We start from the raw sequence: 17,886 nt of genomic DNA on the forward strand, positions 1-17,886 counted from the left end.
TCTGGGTCAAATGGTATTTCTGGTTCTAAATCTTTGAGGAACCACCACACTATCTTCCAAAATGGACCACCCTCTTTCTATCCCTGCATGTGAGTTCTCACTTCTCTCACTTGGGTTCCAGAGACTACATAGCAGAGCAGAAATATAGTGCAGTGTTCCCTTTCTTGTTGTCCATGTTCTGGTTTTGGAACCTCATTATCATTCCAAAATGAATTAGATCTTAATTTGAAACAAAGCTATTCACTCAGAGGGACTTCCAGCCCTCAGACACTGGACAGCAGAAGAGTCCACAAAAGCATGAGAGGGTCCAAGGTCCAGCATCAGAGTCAGGTGCTCATTTCCCTGCAAGGAAGCCCATCCTTCTCCAGTAAACTAAAAATTTACATCTGAAAAATTTGATGCGTCTTCACGGGTGTATATTGAGAATTTCCATGTCTGGGAAAATTGAGGCACAGCCAAGTTCTAGCAAGCTCTCCGTGATGATATAAAACAGAGGTAGGCAAACTTGTTCTCTAAAGAGCCAGATGGTAAACATTTCAGGTCTTGCAGGTGATGCAACCTCCATTGCAACTATTGAGCTCTGCCATTATAGCATGAAAACAGCCACAGACAATATAATAATAGGCCAGGCCATGTTCCAATAAAACTTTATTTGTGAACACTGAAATTTGAATTGCAGGTAGTGTTTATGTCATAAAACGTTCTTTTGTTTTTTTTTTTCTCACCATCTAAAAATATAAACATTATTCTTAACACCTGGGTCATACAGAAACAGGTAGCAGGCTGAATTTGGTCCATCCCTCCCTTACATAGAACATGACAAAAAAGGGAATTCCTGCTGTCTCCAAAAAAACCCATAAATTCCCACTTTTCTATCCTTAAGATGAAAGAAATTACCCTCGATATTGGGAACTCAGTTCAGTTACCACTATAGGAATTAATCTACCAATATCTGAACTTCTGGAATGTTCTGTTTACCTAGCCCAGGATAAACAGGGGAGGACAAACTCCGAGTAACTGAGTGCTGGCTTTTTTTCTTTTCCTGCTATGACTTCATGAAAGGGTTGTTTACGGTAGGAAGTAACCAATGATTTTGATTGCTTCAGGACTTCCTGGTTAAAAAATAAAATGGAGAAGAAGAAAGAGGAAAGTCCTCAAGTTGTAAGCTTTGGAAATACAAAGCCCTCAGGTCCTGTGTAAAATTGAACATGAAAAATAGGCCTCTAATTTCTGTCCTCTCTCCCTAAGCAGTCAACCATTGGAGAAGGTGACTGGGGGAGACCCTTGGCTCAGAACTTCTTGGTGGTTATAAATTCTTTATCAACTATGGCTTATGTTTTTACAGGGAATTTTCTTCTTCCTCTTCTTCTTTTTTTAAGTTACGGTGATCACAATTTTCAGATTTTTGACTACTTATCAAACTTTTTTTCCCTCCCCCTCTTAACAGAGAAGGTCAGTCACTTTTAAGATATAAGAGAATTTGAGAACAGATTAATGACAAAGATAAATGATGATTTTTATTTTAGCGGAAGTTTCAGCGCGTTTTCTGCCCAGCCTGGGTACTGCTAATAAAGTATACTTGACATATAACTGCGTAAGTTCTTTGCTTTAAAGTTCAATGATGGATCAAAAGAGAGAATTCTCTCTTTAGAAAGAAATGTCCTGGAAGGAAAAATAAAAGGAAGGTGGAGGGGAAGCTCATACATCCCTTTTGTCTTTTTCTCTTCTCTTTGTGGCCCAGAGACAGAGCATTGAGTGACTTCTTCAGAAAAGAGATCAGTGAAATTGTCAGTTGATTACTTCTCCTTGATTAGCATTTATAAGAGCCCTGTGATACAGTATTTGCATTCCTATTTAGCCGTGATTTTTGTGGGGCACCAATGATTAAACTTGTCACAGGGCTTGATTGACGGGGTCAGATCTTCACTTTCTACTCTTTTGAAATTAAAAACAAATGTGTCAGCTCCCTTCATGGGCTGGAGCGCCGTGAAGCTCGCCTGCCTTGTCATTGCAGATAGGTCAGGAATGTTTTAATTTTAGGGATGGATTCTGCTTGTCAAGTAGAGTGTGATGGCGTGTGGTTCTGGAGATGAGATGTGAAGGGTGTAGCACAAAGAAGGGGAAGAACAAAGACAAAGACACTCACATTATTAGACAGATTTAATTAGTCTGAATGGATATTATGCTAGATGAAGCAGTGAGCTGTGAAATTAACCCTTGATTACGGATTGGCGGATCCTACTCATAAAGAGAATCAAACCTTTGTGGAGAGACGCGAGGTATGATTTCAGTTTCTCCTACCCTTCCGGGTTGCATGCCAGATCCCCACCCCCACCACCCACCCCTGTCGACTTAAACACCAGAATCTGTAGGGGGAAAAAAACTGTGGAAGTTCATCTTTAACTTGAGCAGGCAGGTATACCTAGAAAAGGAATTCCACCTGGCTTCCTCTCTTCAACTTTAGAGAAAGCAACAAGCCCAGGGTGGTTGGATGTGAAGCTAAGAGGCTCACAAAGACACAGATTTCTGAATCCAAAATAGAGAACAGAAATAGCTAAGTTTGAATAAGAGCCATGTATTTTGAGGGTCTGAAGTGAATAGCTCTATCCACTGCAGTAGAGGGTCACCTCCCGGGAATGTTTGTCCTTCATACAATGTGCCCCCCAACTTACTGCTGCCTTTCCATGGTCTTCTCCAGTGAATCCCAGCTGCATCCTGACTTCCAAGAACTTCAAGCATGTTAAGAAAGGGATGGAAGGCCTAGAGCCCTCACCCAGCATTGATGGTCAACTAAGAAAAGTCTCTCAAACATTAATACTAAGGACTCTAACATGGAGGGGGACATGGGCGAGATGGGTCTGAGATCATGTGGCCTTCCAGAAATCCTTTAACTTATCCAAATTATCTGATTTGGCACACTCTGGACTCTACTGATAAAGGCTTTGTACAAAGCTTGCACCAACTAACATCTCTATTTTTAAGTGACTCAGTCCAAATCATTCTCCAGCACTGATTCCAGGAATGAGAAGTCTCTGTGGGGGCATGATGTGGAGGAGAAGTATCTGTTAGGCTGGCCCAGGTCATGTGGAAAGTCAGCAAATTAGGAAATGCAGAAATGGAGTTAGAGAATTTGCTCCGCAGCTCTTTCACAAACTCAGTCTTCTCGTTGGTGAATGAGATGTGTAGCTCCTTCTTTAACAATTGTGCTGAAATCTTAACTGTGTACTTTAAGTGCCAAGAAAGGCACTGTGTATTATTATTATAGCTCTCTGTAGAAAACATGGCACTAATTCTAAGTCACTTTTCTGGCTCTGTCTCCATCCAGTCTTCCTTATCACAGTTTCCCACTTTGATGTATAAGTGGCTTCAGTTTGGGGAACTCCTGGTTGAGGAATTCCCTGAACAAACAATTTCCAAGTGTGGTCTTGAGACTCTGAATCAATTGTCATGAATTGCAGATAACTTATTCCCAATCATTGTTGAAGGATGAGGGTGGTCAATGAACTCATTGGCATTACACTTTAATTTTCTGAATGGAACAGACAAATGGGAAATTGTAATCCTAACCCTGGCTCCATTTATGAAAATGCAAATTCTCTAACTCCATTTCTGCAATTCCTAATTTGCTGACTTTCCACATGACCTGGGCGGGCCTAACTGATACTCCTCTTCCACATCATGCCCCCACAGAGCCGTCTCATTCCTGGAATCATAAAAATGTCATGCATGTGAATGACAGGCATCGCAGGTCAGGGGAGGGAAACTGTTGAGAATCTCTGCTCTATCAGGAAATGCCAGTTTCCCTTCACTGGCTTGTGCTTTAGGTGACCATACTGTGGAGGTCACATTGCTCCAGGTAGATGGTTGTATCTCAAAGTCCTTTTGCTTTTGTCTCTGGAAAATCAGATGATTCTACAGGTAAACACAGCTATAGTTACTGCTATTCAGAAATGAGTATTGTTTCCTTCCCAAAGATAGGTTTTGTTTCTGAAGAAATTTCTTTCTTAGAACTAAGTGATACAAGAAATAACCCACTGCCTCCGATTTGACTTCACTGAGGTTTAGAGGAGGAAATCTGCCTTTACGGGACTTGATAAGGGAACACAGAGCAACCTCCACCACAGAGAATTATGCAGCCCACAGTGTCAATAGTGCCAAAACAAAAGGGACATTGTGATCCTAACCCCAGCTCCATTTATGAAGATGATAAATTCCTTACCAGAGAAATAGAGAAATCTCTTGATATGGTTTGGCTGTGTCCCCACCCACATCTCACCCTGAATTCCCACGTGTTGTGGGGGGAACCCAGTGGGAGGTAATCGAATCATGGGGGCGGGTCTTTCCCGTGCTGTTCTCGTGATAGTGAATAAGTCTCACGAGACCTGATGGTTTTAAAAACGGGAGTTTCCCTGCACAAGTGCTTTTCTCTTGTCTGCCACCATGTGAGACATGCCTTTCACCTTTTGCCATGATTGTGAGGCCTCCTCAGCCAAGTGGAACTGTTAAGTTCATTAAACCTCTTTCTTTTGTAAATTGCCCAGTCTCAGGTATGTCTTCATTAGTAGCGTGAAAACAGACTAATACACATCTCTTGTCAGGAGAATCAAAAAATTCTATTAGGGGATTCCTGGCACTTGATACCCTTGACCCTGAAGGTACACAGAGTGGTTTAGATGGTACTTGGGTGAGCTTTTCTATGGTTATGTATTTATTTTAAAGCATATTCAATTGTGTGTGTGTGTGTCAGGGTGTCAGGGTTTCTCAGGTCTGGCACTACTGACGTTGTGAGTTGAATAATTCTCTGGGGTGGGCAGTCCCACACATTGCAGGATGTAGCAGTATCCTTGGTCCTCATCTGCTGGATGCCAGGACTCTCACCAGGCCAGGTGGGACAGCTAAAATATCTCCAGATACTTCCAAATGTTCTCTGAGGGACAAAATCACTCCCAATTGAAAAACCCTACTATATATCTATGATTCTATAGACATTATTGGACATTATTGCTTAAGGGGATAAGGCTTCTTTTTTTGAGACAGAGTCTCACTCTGTCACCCAGGCTGGAGTACAGTGGCCCTGTGTTGGCTCACTGCAACCTCTGTCTCCAGGGTTGAAGCGATTCTCCTGCCTCAGCCTCCCGAGAAGCTGGGACTACAGGCTCCCTCCAACACACCCAGCTGATTTTTGTATTTTTAGTAGAGACAGGGTTTCACCACATTGCCCAGGCTGGTCTCAAACTCCTGACCTCAAGTGATCCACCCGCCTTGGCCTCCCAAAGTGCTGGGATTACAGGCATGAGCCACTGCACCCGGCCAAGGATAAAGCTTTTTAAAGTTACAGAAATTAAAGAAAAATATTATATTAAAAAAATAGAGAGAGAATACAGGTGATAGTGCTGTGGCAGAAATCAAGAAATCAGAAATCAAGAAGGTTATATGTGAGAGAAAGAAGTTTATGGGCCATATGCAGTGGCTCACACCTGTAATCCTAGCACTTTGGGAGGCCGAGGTGGGAGGCTCACTTGAGCCCAGGAATTCAAGATTAACCTGGGCAACATAGTGAGACCCCATCTCTTCTAAAAGGAAAAAGAAAAAATAATAAAAGATTTTTTAAATAAAGCGAGAAATTTAGGAAACACTGATTTGATTTAGTTTAGTTTAGTTTAGTTTTGTTTTGTTTTTGTTTTGAGATGGAGTCTTGCTTTGTCGCCCAGGCTGGAGTGCAGTGGCGTGGTCTCGGCTCACTACCTCCTCCTCCCGAGTTCAACTGATTCTCCTGCCTCAGCCTCCCGACTAGCTGGGACTACAGGTATGCGTCTCCACGCCCAGCTAATTTTTGTATTTTTAGTAGAGACAGTGTTTCACCAGGCTGGTCTCGAACTCCTGACCTCAGGTGATCCACCTGCCTCAGCTTCCCAAAGTGCTGGGATTACAGGCATGAGCCACTGTGCCAGGCCTGATTTAGTTTTTAATTCACATTTTACGATGTGGATAACTGAAATCCAGAACATGAGATGGACTTGTCCAAAATCATGAAGCTGTCACTCCCTGTATTAACATCACTAAGACAATGCAGGAAAGGCACTTAGGGCTGGGTGCAGTAGCTCATGCCTGTAATCCCAGCACTTTGGGAGGCCGAGGCAGATCACTTGAGGTCAGGAGTCCTAGACCAGCCTGGCCAGCATGGCGAAACCCCATCTCTACTAAAAATACAAAATTAGCCAGATGTGGTGGCACATGCCTGTAATCCCAGCTACTCAGGAGGCAGAGGCAGGAGGATCACTTGAACCCAGGAGGCAGAGGTTGTGGTGAGCTGAGATCACGCCAGTGCACTCCAGCCTGGGTGATGAGAATGAAACTCTGTCTCAAAAAAAAAAAAAAAGAAGAAGAAGAAGAAAAGAAAGGCACTTAGCACACCACCTGCCACCTAGTAATAATAACAATCCCTACTACATATTGAGCACTTGCTATGGGACAGGTACTGTTTTAGGCTCTTTACCTGTAGCAACTCATTGAATATTTACAACAACCCTGTGAGGTAGGAATTATTATTATTCCCATTTATAAAAAGAGAGAAGAAAATAAGTTAAACAAATCCATGGTGAAGGTGGAAGAGAATAAGCCATTTTGTGGAGCTGGGGATGGGAATGTGTGATTTATTATTTATGCTTTCTTTCATACCTATTTTAAGATATTTCTCTAAGTGTCTACTATGTGCCAAGTAATATGTTGCATGTGGCCCAGAAAATACACATAATAAAAACACGTAAATAACAGTCAATTATTACCATTAGCTGTTATTCCCATGGTTCTGTGTGCTGTTACTGAGTTAGTAAAGGAAGCCTATAGCTGTCACTTCTTGCATATCATTCATGCAAATCTGGAGAATTTGTGGGTTTTTTATTTAAATAGCTTTAGGGGTATACACAGATTTTGGTTACATGGATGAATTATATAGTAGTCAAGTCTGAAATTTTAGTGCATTGGTCACCCGAGTAGTGTACCCAAAATGTAGTTTTTTCCTCACTCCCTTCCAACCCTCCCCACTTCTGAGTCTCCAGTGTTCATTACACCATTCTGCATGCCTTCACTCACCCATAACTTAGCTCTCACTTATAAGTGAGAACATATGGCATTTGGTTTTTCCATTCCTGAGTTACTTTACTTAGAATAATGGCCTCCAGTTCTGTCTAAGTTGCTGCAAAAGACATTATTTCATTCTTTGTATGGCTAAGTAGTATTCCATGCTGTGTAAATACCACATTTTCTTTATCCACTCATCAGTTGATGGGCACTTAGGTTGGTTCCATATCTTTGCAATTGTGAATTATGCTGTGATAAACATACATGTGCAGGTGCCTTTTGATATAACAATTTATTTTCCTATGAGTAGATACCTAGTAGTGGGATTCTTGGATTGAATAGTAGTTCTATTATTAGTTCTTTGAGAAACCTCCATACTATTTTCCATAGTGATTGTACTAATTTACATTTCCATCAGCAGCATATAAGCATTCCCTTTTCACTACATCCATGCCAACATCTATTGTTTTTTGACTTCTTAATAATAGTCATTCTGGCTGGGGTAAGGTGACAAAATGCTCAACATTGCTAATCATCAGGGAAAAGCAAATTAAAACCACAATGAGAATTTTGTTTTTTTCAGTTGGGCTTCTGAAGTTTTGTTACTTAAGAAAATTCTAAGTTAGGAATGCTTTAGGCTGCAAATAAAAGGCAGCTTTACTTATAGTGATTTGAATAAATCAAGATTTTCTTTTCTCACCATCCCAACATCCAGAAGTAGGCAACAATGGCATTGAGTCAATGGATTAGTGATGTTAATCACTAATTGACATCTGGATTAGAAGATGTCTCTGTGAGTCTTTTGATCATTGCCTTACAACTGCAAGATGGCTGCATCATGTCCACATTCAAGGTAGGAAAAGGAGTGAAATAACAGTACTAGCTACCTTTGCCCCTCTTCTCAGAGGAGCAAATCTTTCTTGGAAACCCAGCAGAATTCTACATGAACCTCCTCAGCCAAACTGTGTAATTTTGTCATCCTTAGCTGCAAGATGCTGTGACATATTTAACTGGGCACACTGTCACAGAAAACAAAACTAGGATTTTGTCCGGGCACTGTGGCTTACACCTATAGTCCCAGCATTTTGAGGCACTAAGGAAGGAGGATCACTTGAGCATGGGGGTTCTAGACTGCAGTGAGCTATGATCATGCCACTGCATTCCAAACTTGGGGACAAAGAGAGACCCTGTCTCTACAAAAAGTTTAAAACATACATTAAATGGGTGTCGTAGCATGCACCTGTAGTCCCAGCAACTCAGAAGGCTGAGGCTGGTGGAGGATCGCTTGAGCCTAGGAGTTTAAGGCTGCAGTGAGCTATGTTCATGCCACTGCACTCCAGCTTGGGCAATAAAGCAAGACTCTGTCTATAAAAAGAAGCAGAACAAACCAACACAGACACACAGACACACAGACACACACACACACACACACACACACACACACACACACAGAATTTTATTGGCAAGGAAGAAGAGTGAAATGGATATTCCGTAGGTAACTAATGGTATCTGTCCCAGGGACTAATCCAGTAGCAAGAATGTTCTGTCAGTCCTTTTTACCTTTTCTCCCCAGTCTTTTCTCATCCTGTAACCAGCAATTGACTGGAAATCTGTTTATCTTTCTCAATTGTTAATTGATCATCAAATGTTGACTAGATACAGTATTGGCCAAAAATTTCCTAAATAAAATGGGCTTTATGAAATGCATTTTTTTGAGATGGGATCTCACTCTGTTGCCCAGGCTGGAGTGCAGTGGTGCAATCTTGGCTCACGGCAACCTCCACCTCCCGAGTTCAAGCAATTCTCCTGCCTCAGCCTCCCAAGTAGCTGGGACTACAGGCACATGCCACCATGCTCAGCTAATTTTTTTGGATTGTTGGTAGAGATGAGTTTTCACCATGTTGGCTGGGCTGATCTTGAACTCCTGACCTCAGGTGATTTGCCTACTCGGCCTCCCAAAGTGCTGGGATTACAGGCACGAGCCACCACACCCAGCTGGAATGTATTAATAATGTAATCATAATCATCATTACTGCTACTACCACCACCACAAGAATAACCTGTTGAGTATTTCCCATGAATTCTAAGTGTTTCACATACATTATCTCATGTAATCATCACAATGACCCTCCAGGTATTATCATCATTCAAATTTAAGGTCACCCAGCTTGGAAGAGGTGGATCTAGACCTTGAACCCAAGCCCAAGCCACTGTTTTTGCTTTTAAGGTGCTGACAATACAATAAGGGAGACAAGAGTAACTCATAAGAAGTAGTCTACCAGTACTGCAAGACAAAATAATACTAAGTACTAAACTATGTGGTCCTGGAAATAGGTTTTGGAAGAATCATAAGGAAGATCGTTTTCATGAAGGCCACATGTAGTCAAGAAAGACACTTGAGTTGTCCGTTAGGGGGATATTAGACTTGTTTTCTACGTGTAGTGGTTATCAGGGTCAGTTCTGCTCTCCCAGCTACAACAAACACACAGAACCAAACAGAACTTAGGAAGTCTGGAGAGCCGCAAAGCAAGCAGACACCATTAGACTCTGCGTAGATTTGTTTAGAGTTTGTGGGCATTGTTGAGGTCTCTCAGGGTCTGCTGACAGTCCTGTGACCATCTGCCTGGCAGCAAGGACTTCAGTTGTTTGCAATGCTTTGGCCAAGCCGAGAGCACGCGGATCTGGATGCACAGCTGCTGAGCGTGTGCTGACGGGCCTCAGCTCCTCGAGCGTGTTTGTTCAGACTGGTCTGCCTAAATCCACTCCAAAATTCTTCCGAGCCAGAAAAGGAGAACATGTGCTTTCTTTTCACATAGTATTTCTGAATGCCCATGAATATAAAAGAGAGAAAACAAAACCAAAAAAGTCTAAGATACATGATATTCCCAAACAACAAAAAAGACAGGAAGCTTTCGGAATCAGAAATCTGGCCCTTTCTTAAGGGAATTCCCTGTTGGTTTGGAGACCATGCTGGTTGTTAGAAAATTTAGATAAGGAACAATTTTATTTCTTTGCAGCACAGTTCAACCATTATTTTCTGAGTACCAATTGTGTGCAAGGTCCTGTGTCAGATTCTAGAGCAAGATGCTAATGGATGCAAAGACAAGCAAGACCATCAGGAAACTTTTTGGCAGAAGAAGCAATAAAGACTTCACTGAGACCAGGACAAGAGGGTGATTTGGAGCACTGCTAAGATGACTGTTTCCTTCTTTGTTTTTCCCCCGCCCCGGGTAATGAGCACATATTGCAGAAAGAACTTTACATAAAAGTTGAAAACGTATCTATGTGAAAAAACAAAATAAGGGAAGGCATTATAGCATGGTAACAGGGAACTTTTTTTAAATTAATTTATTTATTTTGAGACAGAGTCTTGCTCTGTCGCCCAGGCTGGAGTGCAGTGGCGCGATCTTGGCTCACTGCAACCTCTGCCTCCCAGGTTCAAGCAATTCTCCTGCCTCAGCCTCCTGAGTAGCTGGGATTACAGGCGCGTGTCACCACGCCTGGCTAATTTTTTGTATTTTTAGTAGAGACGTGGATTCACCATATTGGTCAGGCTGGTGTCGAACTCCTGACCATGTGATCTGCCCACCTCAGCCTTCCAAAGTGCTGGGATTACAGGCATGAGCCACCACACCTGGCTGTAAGAACATTTATTTGGAAAGCAGCTTTATGCAAGCTCAAGGTCAAGCTCTCCCTCTTGCTAAGTGTGTGACTTTTAGTAAGTTATTTATCACCCTGTGTCTCAGTTTCCTCGTGTCTAAGATGGGCATGATAATACCCCAACCTCACAGGACTGAGACAATGCAAGAAAAGCACTGAGCACAGTGCCTTGCACGTAACAAGTGCTCCGTCAATTTTTCTTTTCAATGATAGCAATAATGATAACATATTGTTATGATCATCAGGCGTAGTGCAGTATCTGGAATAGAGTGAGCACTCAGTGATGGTTTCTATGGCTGGGCTGTTTTTTGTGCTTCCACTGTTGAAGTATTTAACACAGTATCTGGCAACACCTGGTGACTCAAAGAGCAAGCTATGATGGTTCCAAAGCTGGGGCTCAGGGTGAAACTCTCTCTATGGGAGATCTCTGGGATTCTCCTGTTCAGGCTTAACGATGAAAGGTAATGTGCCTTCTTTTCTTTTATCTCCAAGAAACTACGCTAGTCAGTTTGATCCTGCCCAAAGTCGCCATAAAGTTAAAATTCACAAAACCAAACCCAGAAGCTCAGAGGCTGCCCAGGGAAGGACACACAGTGCCCTGCGGTGTGTCTGTGTTTCTACATCTGAAGCCGTGGACGACGTACCTAGACAGAAGATGCCACGGATCTGGCCCCAGGGCTTATTTTATTTATTTATTATTATTATTATTATTATTATTTTTTTTTTTTTTTTAGATGGAGCCTTGCTCTGTCATGCAGGCTGGAGTGCAGTGGTGGGATCTTGGCTCACTGCAACCTCCGCCTCCCGGGTTCAAGCACTTCTCCTGCCTCAGCCTCCCCAGTAGCTGGGATTACAGTCATCTTCCACCACGTCCGGCTAATTTTTTTTTTATAGTTTTAGTAGAGACACAGCTTCACCATGTTGGCCAGGCTGGCCTAAAACTCCTGACCTCAAGTGATCCACCTGCCTCGGCCTCCCAAGGTGCTGGGATTACAGGTGTGAGCCATTCCACCCAGCCTCCTTTCCTCCTGTTCACTTACTCTTGGCCCTAGCAATTCTGTGTGATTCCAGGATAAGCCTCATGCTTTTTTTGGAATTCCATCTTCTTGCTCCCATTGTCCTCCTTGTCTCTTTCATATGAATGTTTTCTATATTTCAAAGCCCTGCTCAAACACCACCTCCTCCAGAAAGGCTCCTGGTATCCTCTTTCTTTTCTAACCTAGAAAAGAGTATGCCCTCCTCTGGGCACCTCCAGAATATTCTCTCACGTCTTATATGACATGTGTCAATCTGTACCTTGATTTATAATCACGTGTGTGTTAGGACTATGGATTGCACATGACAGAAAAATCCACTCAGGCCAGGCACAGTAGCTCACGCCTGTAATTCCAGCACTTTGGGAGGCCGAGGCAGATGGATCACTTGAGGTCAGGAGTTCAAGACCAGCCTGGCCAACATGGTGAAACCCTGTGTCTACTAAAAATACAAAAATTAGGCAGGCATGGTGGCAGGTGCCTGTGATCCCAGCTACTCTGGAGGCTGAGCCAGGAGAATTGCTTGAACCCGGGGGACAGAGGTTGCAGTGAGCCAAGATTGCACCACTGCACTGCAGCCTGGGTGTCAGAGCAAGACTCCATCTAAAAGGAAAGAAAAGAAAAGAAAAGAAAAAAGAAAAATCCACTCAAACCAGTTTAAGCACAGAGGGATTTTACTGGCTCCTGGGAAGGTCAAGGGTGCAACAGATTCAGGCAATGCTAGATCCAGTGCTTAAGTGGTGTCACTGGAAATCTGGCCTTCTCCACCCGACATGGTTTGGATCTTTGTCCCCTCCAAATCTCATGTTGAAATGTGATCCCCAATGTTGGAGGTGGGGCCCAGTGGGAGGTGTTTGGGTTATGGGGGCAGATACCTCGTGAATGGCTCAGTGTCCTCCCTGTGGAAATGAGTGAGTTCTTACTCTGTTGGTTCACACCACGGCTGACTGTAAAAAAAGTGTGACACCTCTCCCTCTCTCTCTTGTTCTCTCTCTTGCGTGTGATGTGCCTGCTCCTCCTTCACCTTCTGCAGTGAGTAAAAGCTTCCTGAGGGCTGGCCAGAAGCAGATGCCAGCACTATGCCTCTTGTACAGTCTGCAGAACTGTGAGCCAAAATAAACCTCTTTTCTTTCTAAATTACCCAGTCTCGGGTATCCCCTTATAGCAACGCAAAACAGACTAATACACAGCCTCTCAAATCTCCTGGAAGGATGTACTTGGGTGTACTTTTCTTTCTTTTTTTTTTTTCTTTTTTTTTTTGGAGACAGAGTCTCACTCTGTCACCCAGGCTGGAGTGCAGTGGTGCAGTCTCGGCTCATTGCAACCTCTGCTTCCAGGGTTCAAGCAATTCTTGTGCCTCAACCTCCCAAGTAGCTGGGACTACAGATGCCCGCCACGACACCCCGCTAATTTTTTGTACTTTAGTAGAGATGGGCTTTCACCATGTTGGCCAGGCTGGTCTCCAACTCCTGAGCTCAGGCAATACCCAAGTGCTAGGATTACAGGTGTGAGCCACCAAGCCCAGCCTGCAAGGGCATAATTTTCATGTGGTGGCTCAGAAACCTCCAGCAGCCCCAAGTTGAGCCGTCATAATAAGAAAATTTATTTTTTAGGAAGAAATCTCTCATTGGACTACCTAGGGTCGTGTGCTCATCCCTGGACCAATCACTGTGGCTAGGAGAATAGAACATGCTGATTGGCCAGACTTGGGTCACATGCCCAGCCCTGTAGCTTGGAAGTGGGGTGAGCCCTATGGGATCCCCTGACCTAAAAATGAGAAAGCAGTGGATCCCCAAATAAAAATTAGGGCTGGGCTGGGTGCAGTGGCTCACGCCTGTAATCCTAGCATTTTGGGAGGCCAAGGCAGGTGGATCATCTGAGGTCAGGAGTTCGAGACCAGCCTGACCAACATGATGAAACCCCGTCTCTACAAAAATTACGAAATTAGCCAGACGTGGTGGCACACGCCTGTAATCCCAACTACTAGGGAGACTGAGGCTGCGGAATCGCTTGACCCCAGGAGGCGGAGGTTGCGGTGAGCTGAGATCGCGCCATTGCACTCCAGCCTGGGCAACAAGAGTGAAACTCCATCTCTAAAAAAAAAGAAAAATTAGGGCTGTCGCCTGAAGGAAACAACAATTATTTATGGCAGTTATACAGTTCCTGCCTGTTCATTTCTTGGTAATTCATAGTGCCTAGCATTTTGTTCATCATAAAGTACATGCTCAACAAAATTATCAAATAAATGAATAAACAAAGAGTATGACTTTAAAATGTACCTACTGACTTTGCACATGTCTTCCTCTGACACTCACAGTTATACTGTATTTGGCCAAGCAGAGATCACACATCATTTTGAGTATTTCTCCAGCTCTTTTAGGGAGTATCTTAGGAAACCAGACATCACAAATCCTTCCATCTGGAGTCAGTAATAATGCAGAAGATACTAATGTTTAATAATCCAAAGTGCCTAGCTCACTATTAAAAAAAAAATTTTTAACCTAATAAGAGAGAATTGGCCGTGACCAAGTCCTTGACCTGTCTGTTGGAATCCTCCCTTTCTAGCCATTTCTGGTCATGAAAATTGGGCAGGATTTCTGGCATCCTTTATGCTTCTTTGTTATTAAAAGCAGGATCAGTTAATAAATAATTATGATGCTCAGTTTCTAGGGAACAAGGAGATAAGGACAGGAACACTTGAGTCTCACAAATTACATGCTATAGTATAGATTCTCACCCAGAGTGAAGAATAGCCTAGCTTTTTTTTTCCCTGTGGCATAAATTGTTCTAATTATACGTGCAAGATCCTCTATTCCCAAAGATATGAGTTGGAAGCGCTGTGTCTGTTCTTTTAATTCCAAGAAGACTTTGCAGTTGGGTGTTTCCACCCCCCTTGTTTTCAAACTGAATTGTTTCAGTGGTAGCTTGGTGTGTCAGCTTGTAAGTCTATAAAACAGTTTTATACCAGCTGGAGATTCAACATGCTACATGAATACATAACAGTGCCTAACCAAGAAGGTTTGTAATTCAGTAATTAGCTGTAATTAATGAACACAAAGTGAAGACTCATTTACAGTTTAAATTATCACATTAGCTCCTGTCACCCTCTATGTACACAAAACAGCAGGAATTCAATTATTTTTATTCTTCAAAGCTAATTTAAAATTTAAGGGATGCCATTACATGAAATAATAGGTAGGAAATGTAATCGAAATCACTGGGAACAGTTGGCCGTCCTTAGAATTAAAAAAAAAAAAATGTGATCACTGACGATTTGGAAATGTTTTTTCATCTGTGAACAGATGAAGGATTGAAATCTCTGCTCTTTTCAGTATATTTAATTTAAAAGGAGAAGCGAGTTTGGTGGTTGCGGGATCTTCACGCAGGGAGAATCATGGTGCGTAATTGTAAAAGCAGCTGATAACTGATAATGCTGTTGATAGTAACAAGAGGGCAGCCTGGGAGACACACATTCCATTATCCCTAATGGAGCTGAGCCTTCTGCAATTGCAGGGGGTTCCTGGAATTGTCACCCATTTCTGATGCATCATTTCAGCTTGGGAGACCTTACGTCATTGTCACATTTCTGTCGTCCTTAATTCTTTGTTCGTATCTATGATAAATATTCTTTCATTCATTCATCAAACATTGACAGAGCACCTCCTCAGGCTCAGGCATTGTTCTAAGTTCCAGGACCACAGCAGTGGGGAAGACAGGCCACATTCCTGATCTCGTGGAGCCAACACTCCAGTGGGGAGAAACGGACAATAGCCAGGGGTTCTCAAGTTTGGCTGTGCCGTAGAGTTGGGGAGGAAGCTTTAAAAATACATGTGTATCAATGCCTGGTCCCAACCTCAATTGATTGAATCAAATTATTCTCACTCCTTTCTTTCATTACAACTCTTTAAGTATGCAAACACTTTCTTAGCTCAAGAGCTGCACAAAAACAAGCTGTGAACTACATTTGACCCACTCAAGCCACGTTGGGAAAAAACAAGACCAGCAAGTGCAAAGGCCCTGAGGCAGGTTTGGGCATCAGTATTTTTAGCAGCTTTCTAGGTGACTCACATGGTCAACCAGGGCTGAGAACCATTGTCACAGACTAACAAATACAACAAATACATGTTTATTGGTGATGAGTGCTGCAATAAAAATTAAGCAATTGAGTGTAGAAGGTAACTACAGGCTGCTCTGGATTGGGTGTTCCCCAATTTCTTAGGGAGGTGGCATGGGAGACCTGAGTGGTGAGAAGCCAATCTTGAGAAGATCTGGAAAGTTGTTCTATCTCAGCCATCAGTAAAACTTCTGCTGCTTTACTTCTTCCTTTTTTTTCCATTATAACCCTTATTTATTTGTTTATTTTATTTTATTTTATTTTATTTTATTTTATTTTATTTTATTTTATTTTATTTATTTTGAGATGGAGTCTCACTCTGTTGCCCAGGCTGGAGTGCAGTGGCACGATCTCGGCTCACTGCAAGCTCCACCTCCTGGGTTCCCGCCATTCTCCTGCCTCAGCCTCCCAAGTAGCTGGGACTATAGGCACCCGCCACCAAAACCGGCTAGGTTTTCTTTTTGTTTTGTTTTGTTTTTTGTATTTTTAGTAGAAATGGGGTTTCACTTGTTAGCAAGGATTGTCTCAATCTCCTGACCTCATGATCCGCCCACCTCGGCCTCCCAAAGTGCTGGTATTACAAGCGTGAGCCACCACGCCCAGCCTCGTATTTTATTTTTGAGATGGAGTCTCGCTCTGTCACCCAGGCTGGAGTGTAGTAGTGCGATCTCAGCTCACTGCAACCCCTGCCTCCCAAGTTCAAGCAATTTTTGTGCCTCAGCCTCCGAGTAGCTGGGATTACAGGCATGTGCCACCTTGCCTGGCTAATTTTTGTATTTTCAATAGAGGCAGGGTTTTGCCATGTTGGCCAGGCTAGTCTTGAACTCCTGACCTCAAATGATCCACCCGCCTCAGCCTCCCAAAGTGCTGGTGTTACAGGCGTGAGCCATCACTCCCAGCCTTTTCATTATAACCCTTTAAATGTGCAAACATTCTCTCCACTCGAGGGCTGTGCAGAAACAAATTGCAAGCCGAATTTGACCTATCCAAGCCATATTCTAAAGAAAAGGATCAGCAGGTGCAAAGCTCCTGAGGCAGGCATGAGTTGAGTGTGTTGGGTTGGGCAGAAAGAATGCCTGCGTAGGTGGGGCTTAGCTGGTAAGAAGGAGTAGATGAGGTTAGAGGAATGAGCAGGAATTTAGATTTTATTTTGTATTTGTTGAAAATATAAAGGAAGATTTTAAGCAGGGAATGTATGAGTGTGTGTACGTGTGTGTAAAGGAGACAGTTCTGTACCCATACTCTCCACAGTATGTTTCCCTGCAACCGCCACTAATCTCCTTCCATGCCAGTTCCAGGAAGAAAAGGAAAAGCAAACCCCATGTCAAAAGAATGCTGTGTCTGTTGCTTTGGACTTCTCTTTTCTGCACTTTCCCCCTCCTCTTCCCATATTCATTTTTCTTTTTCCTTTAAATAGGCCACTCGAAGCTGCACTGTCTAATTTTTCATAGGTGATCGACTGCTGAGCGGGGGCTTAGGTAGACAGAGGGAAGGTGCTGATAAGCCAGTGCACGGATTCTATTAGGGAAATGCGGTGGTAATTAATGAATCCTGCCAGTAATCGGGAAGGTGTGAGTCCCCGTAATATCGTAATGATAGTCATCTGTCTGCGAACCCCCCATCACTCTGAGAGATCGCTCATCGCTCTGTGATCTCAGACTCTTAGCCATGCAAATCTCCCTGACAGGACGCTATGTCTCTGTCTCCCTAATTGGGCATTCTAGAGTTGTTTATGGATATTGCCGGCATTTAGGCCTCAGTTGGAGGTTGTTCAAAAAGCGTTAGCAAACTTGCCTTAACAACATTGTCAAATATGTATTCCCCCGTTTCGATATCTGTTTTTAAGCCGGCAGAGGTTTGTGATGAAATTAAGTGATGCATTGTGTGCACTTGAGCTCTGGGCGTGATTGTTATTAAACCGTTTTTGAAGTAAAAACCAATTTGCAGTAATATCTCATCCCGCTTAAGATCAAACTTCAGTTTGTGTGCAGGAACTGG

At 43.0% G+C, this 17,886-nt stretch overlaps 1 protein-coding gene and 1 long non-coding RNA gene across 11 annotated transcripts in view; one reads left to right on the forward strand and one right to left on the reverse strand.

The window, feature by feature from the left end:
- TSHZ2 (teashirt zinc finger homeobox 2) overlaps nucleotides 1-17,886 on the forward strand; it is a 522,973-nt gene that overhangs the window by 452,735 nt on the left and 52,352 nt on the right. The window lies entirely within an intron of this gene.
- TSHZ2-AS1 (TSHZ2 antisense RNA 1) overlaps nucleotides 6,879-17,886 on the reverse strand; it is a 72,348-nt gene continuing 61,340 nt past the window's right edge. Inside the window, exon 6 of the long non-coding RNA NR_187667.1 lies at nucleotides 6,879-9,901. This is a non-coding gene — a long non-coding RNA (TSHZ2 antisense RNA 1). The remainder of the gene's footprint in view (nucleotides 9,902-17,886) is intronic.

The sequence above is a fragment of the Homo sapiens genome, chromosome 20 (genome assembly GCF_000001405.40).
Source record: "Homo sapiens chromosome 20, GRCh38.p14 Primary Assembly".
Lineage (NCBI taxonomy): Eukaryota > Metazoa > Chordata > Mammalia > Primates > Hominidae > Homo > Homo sapiens.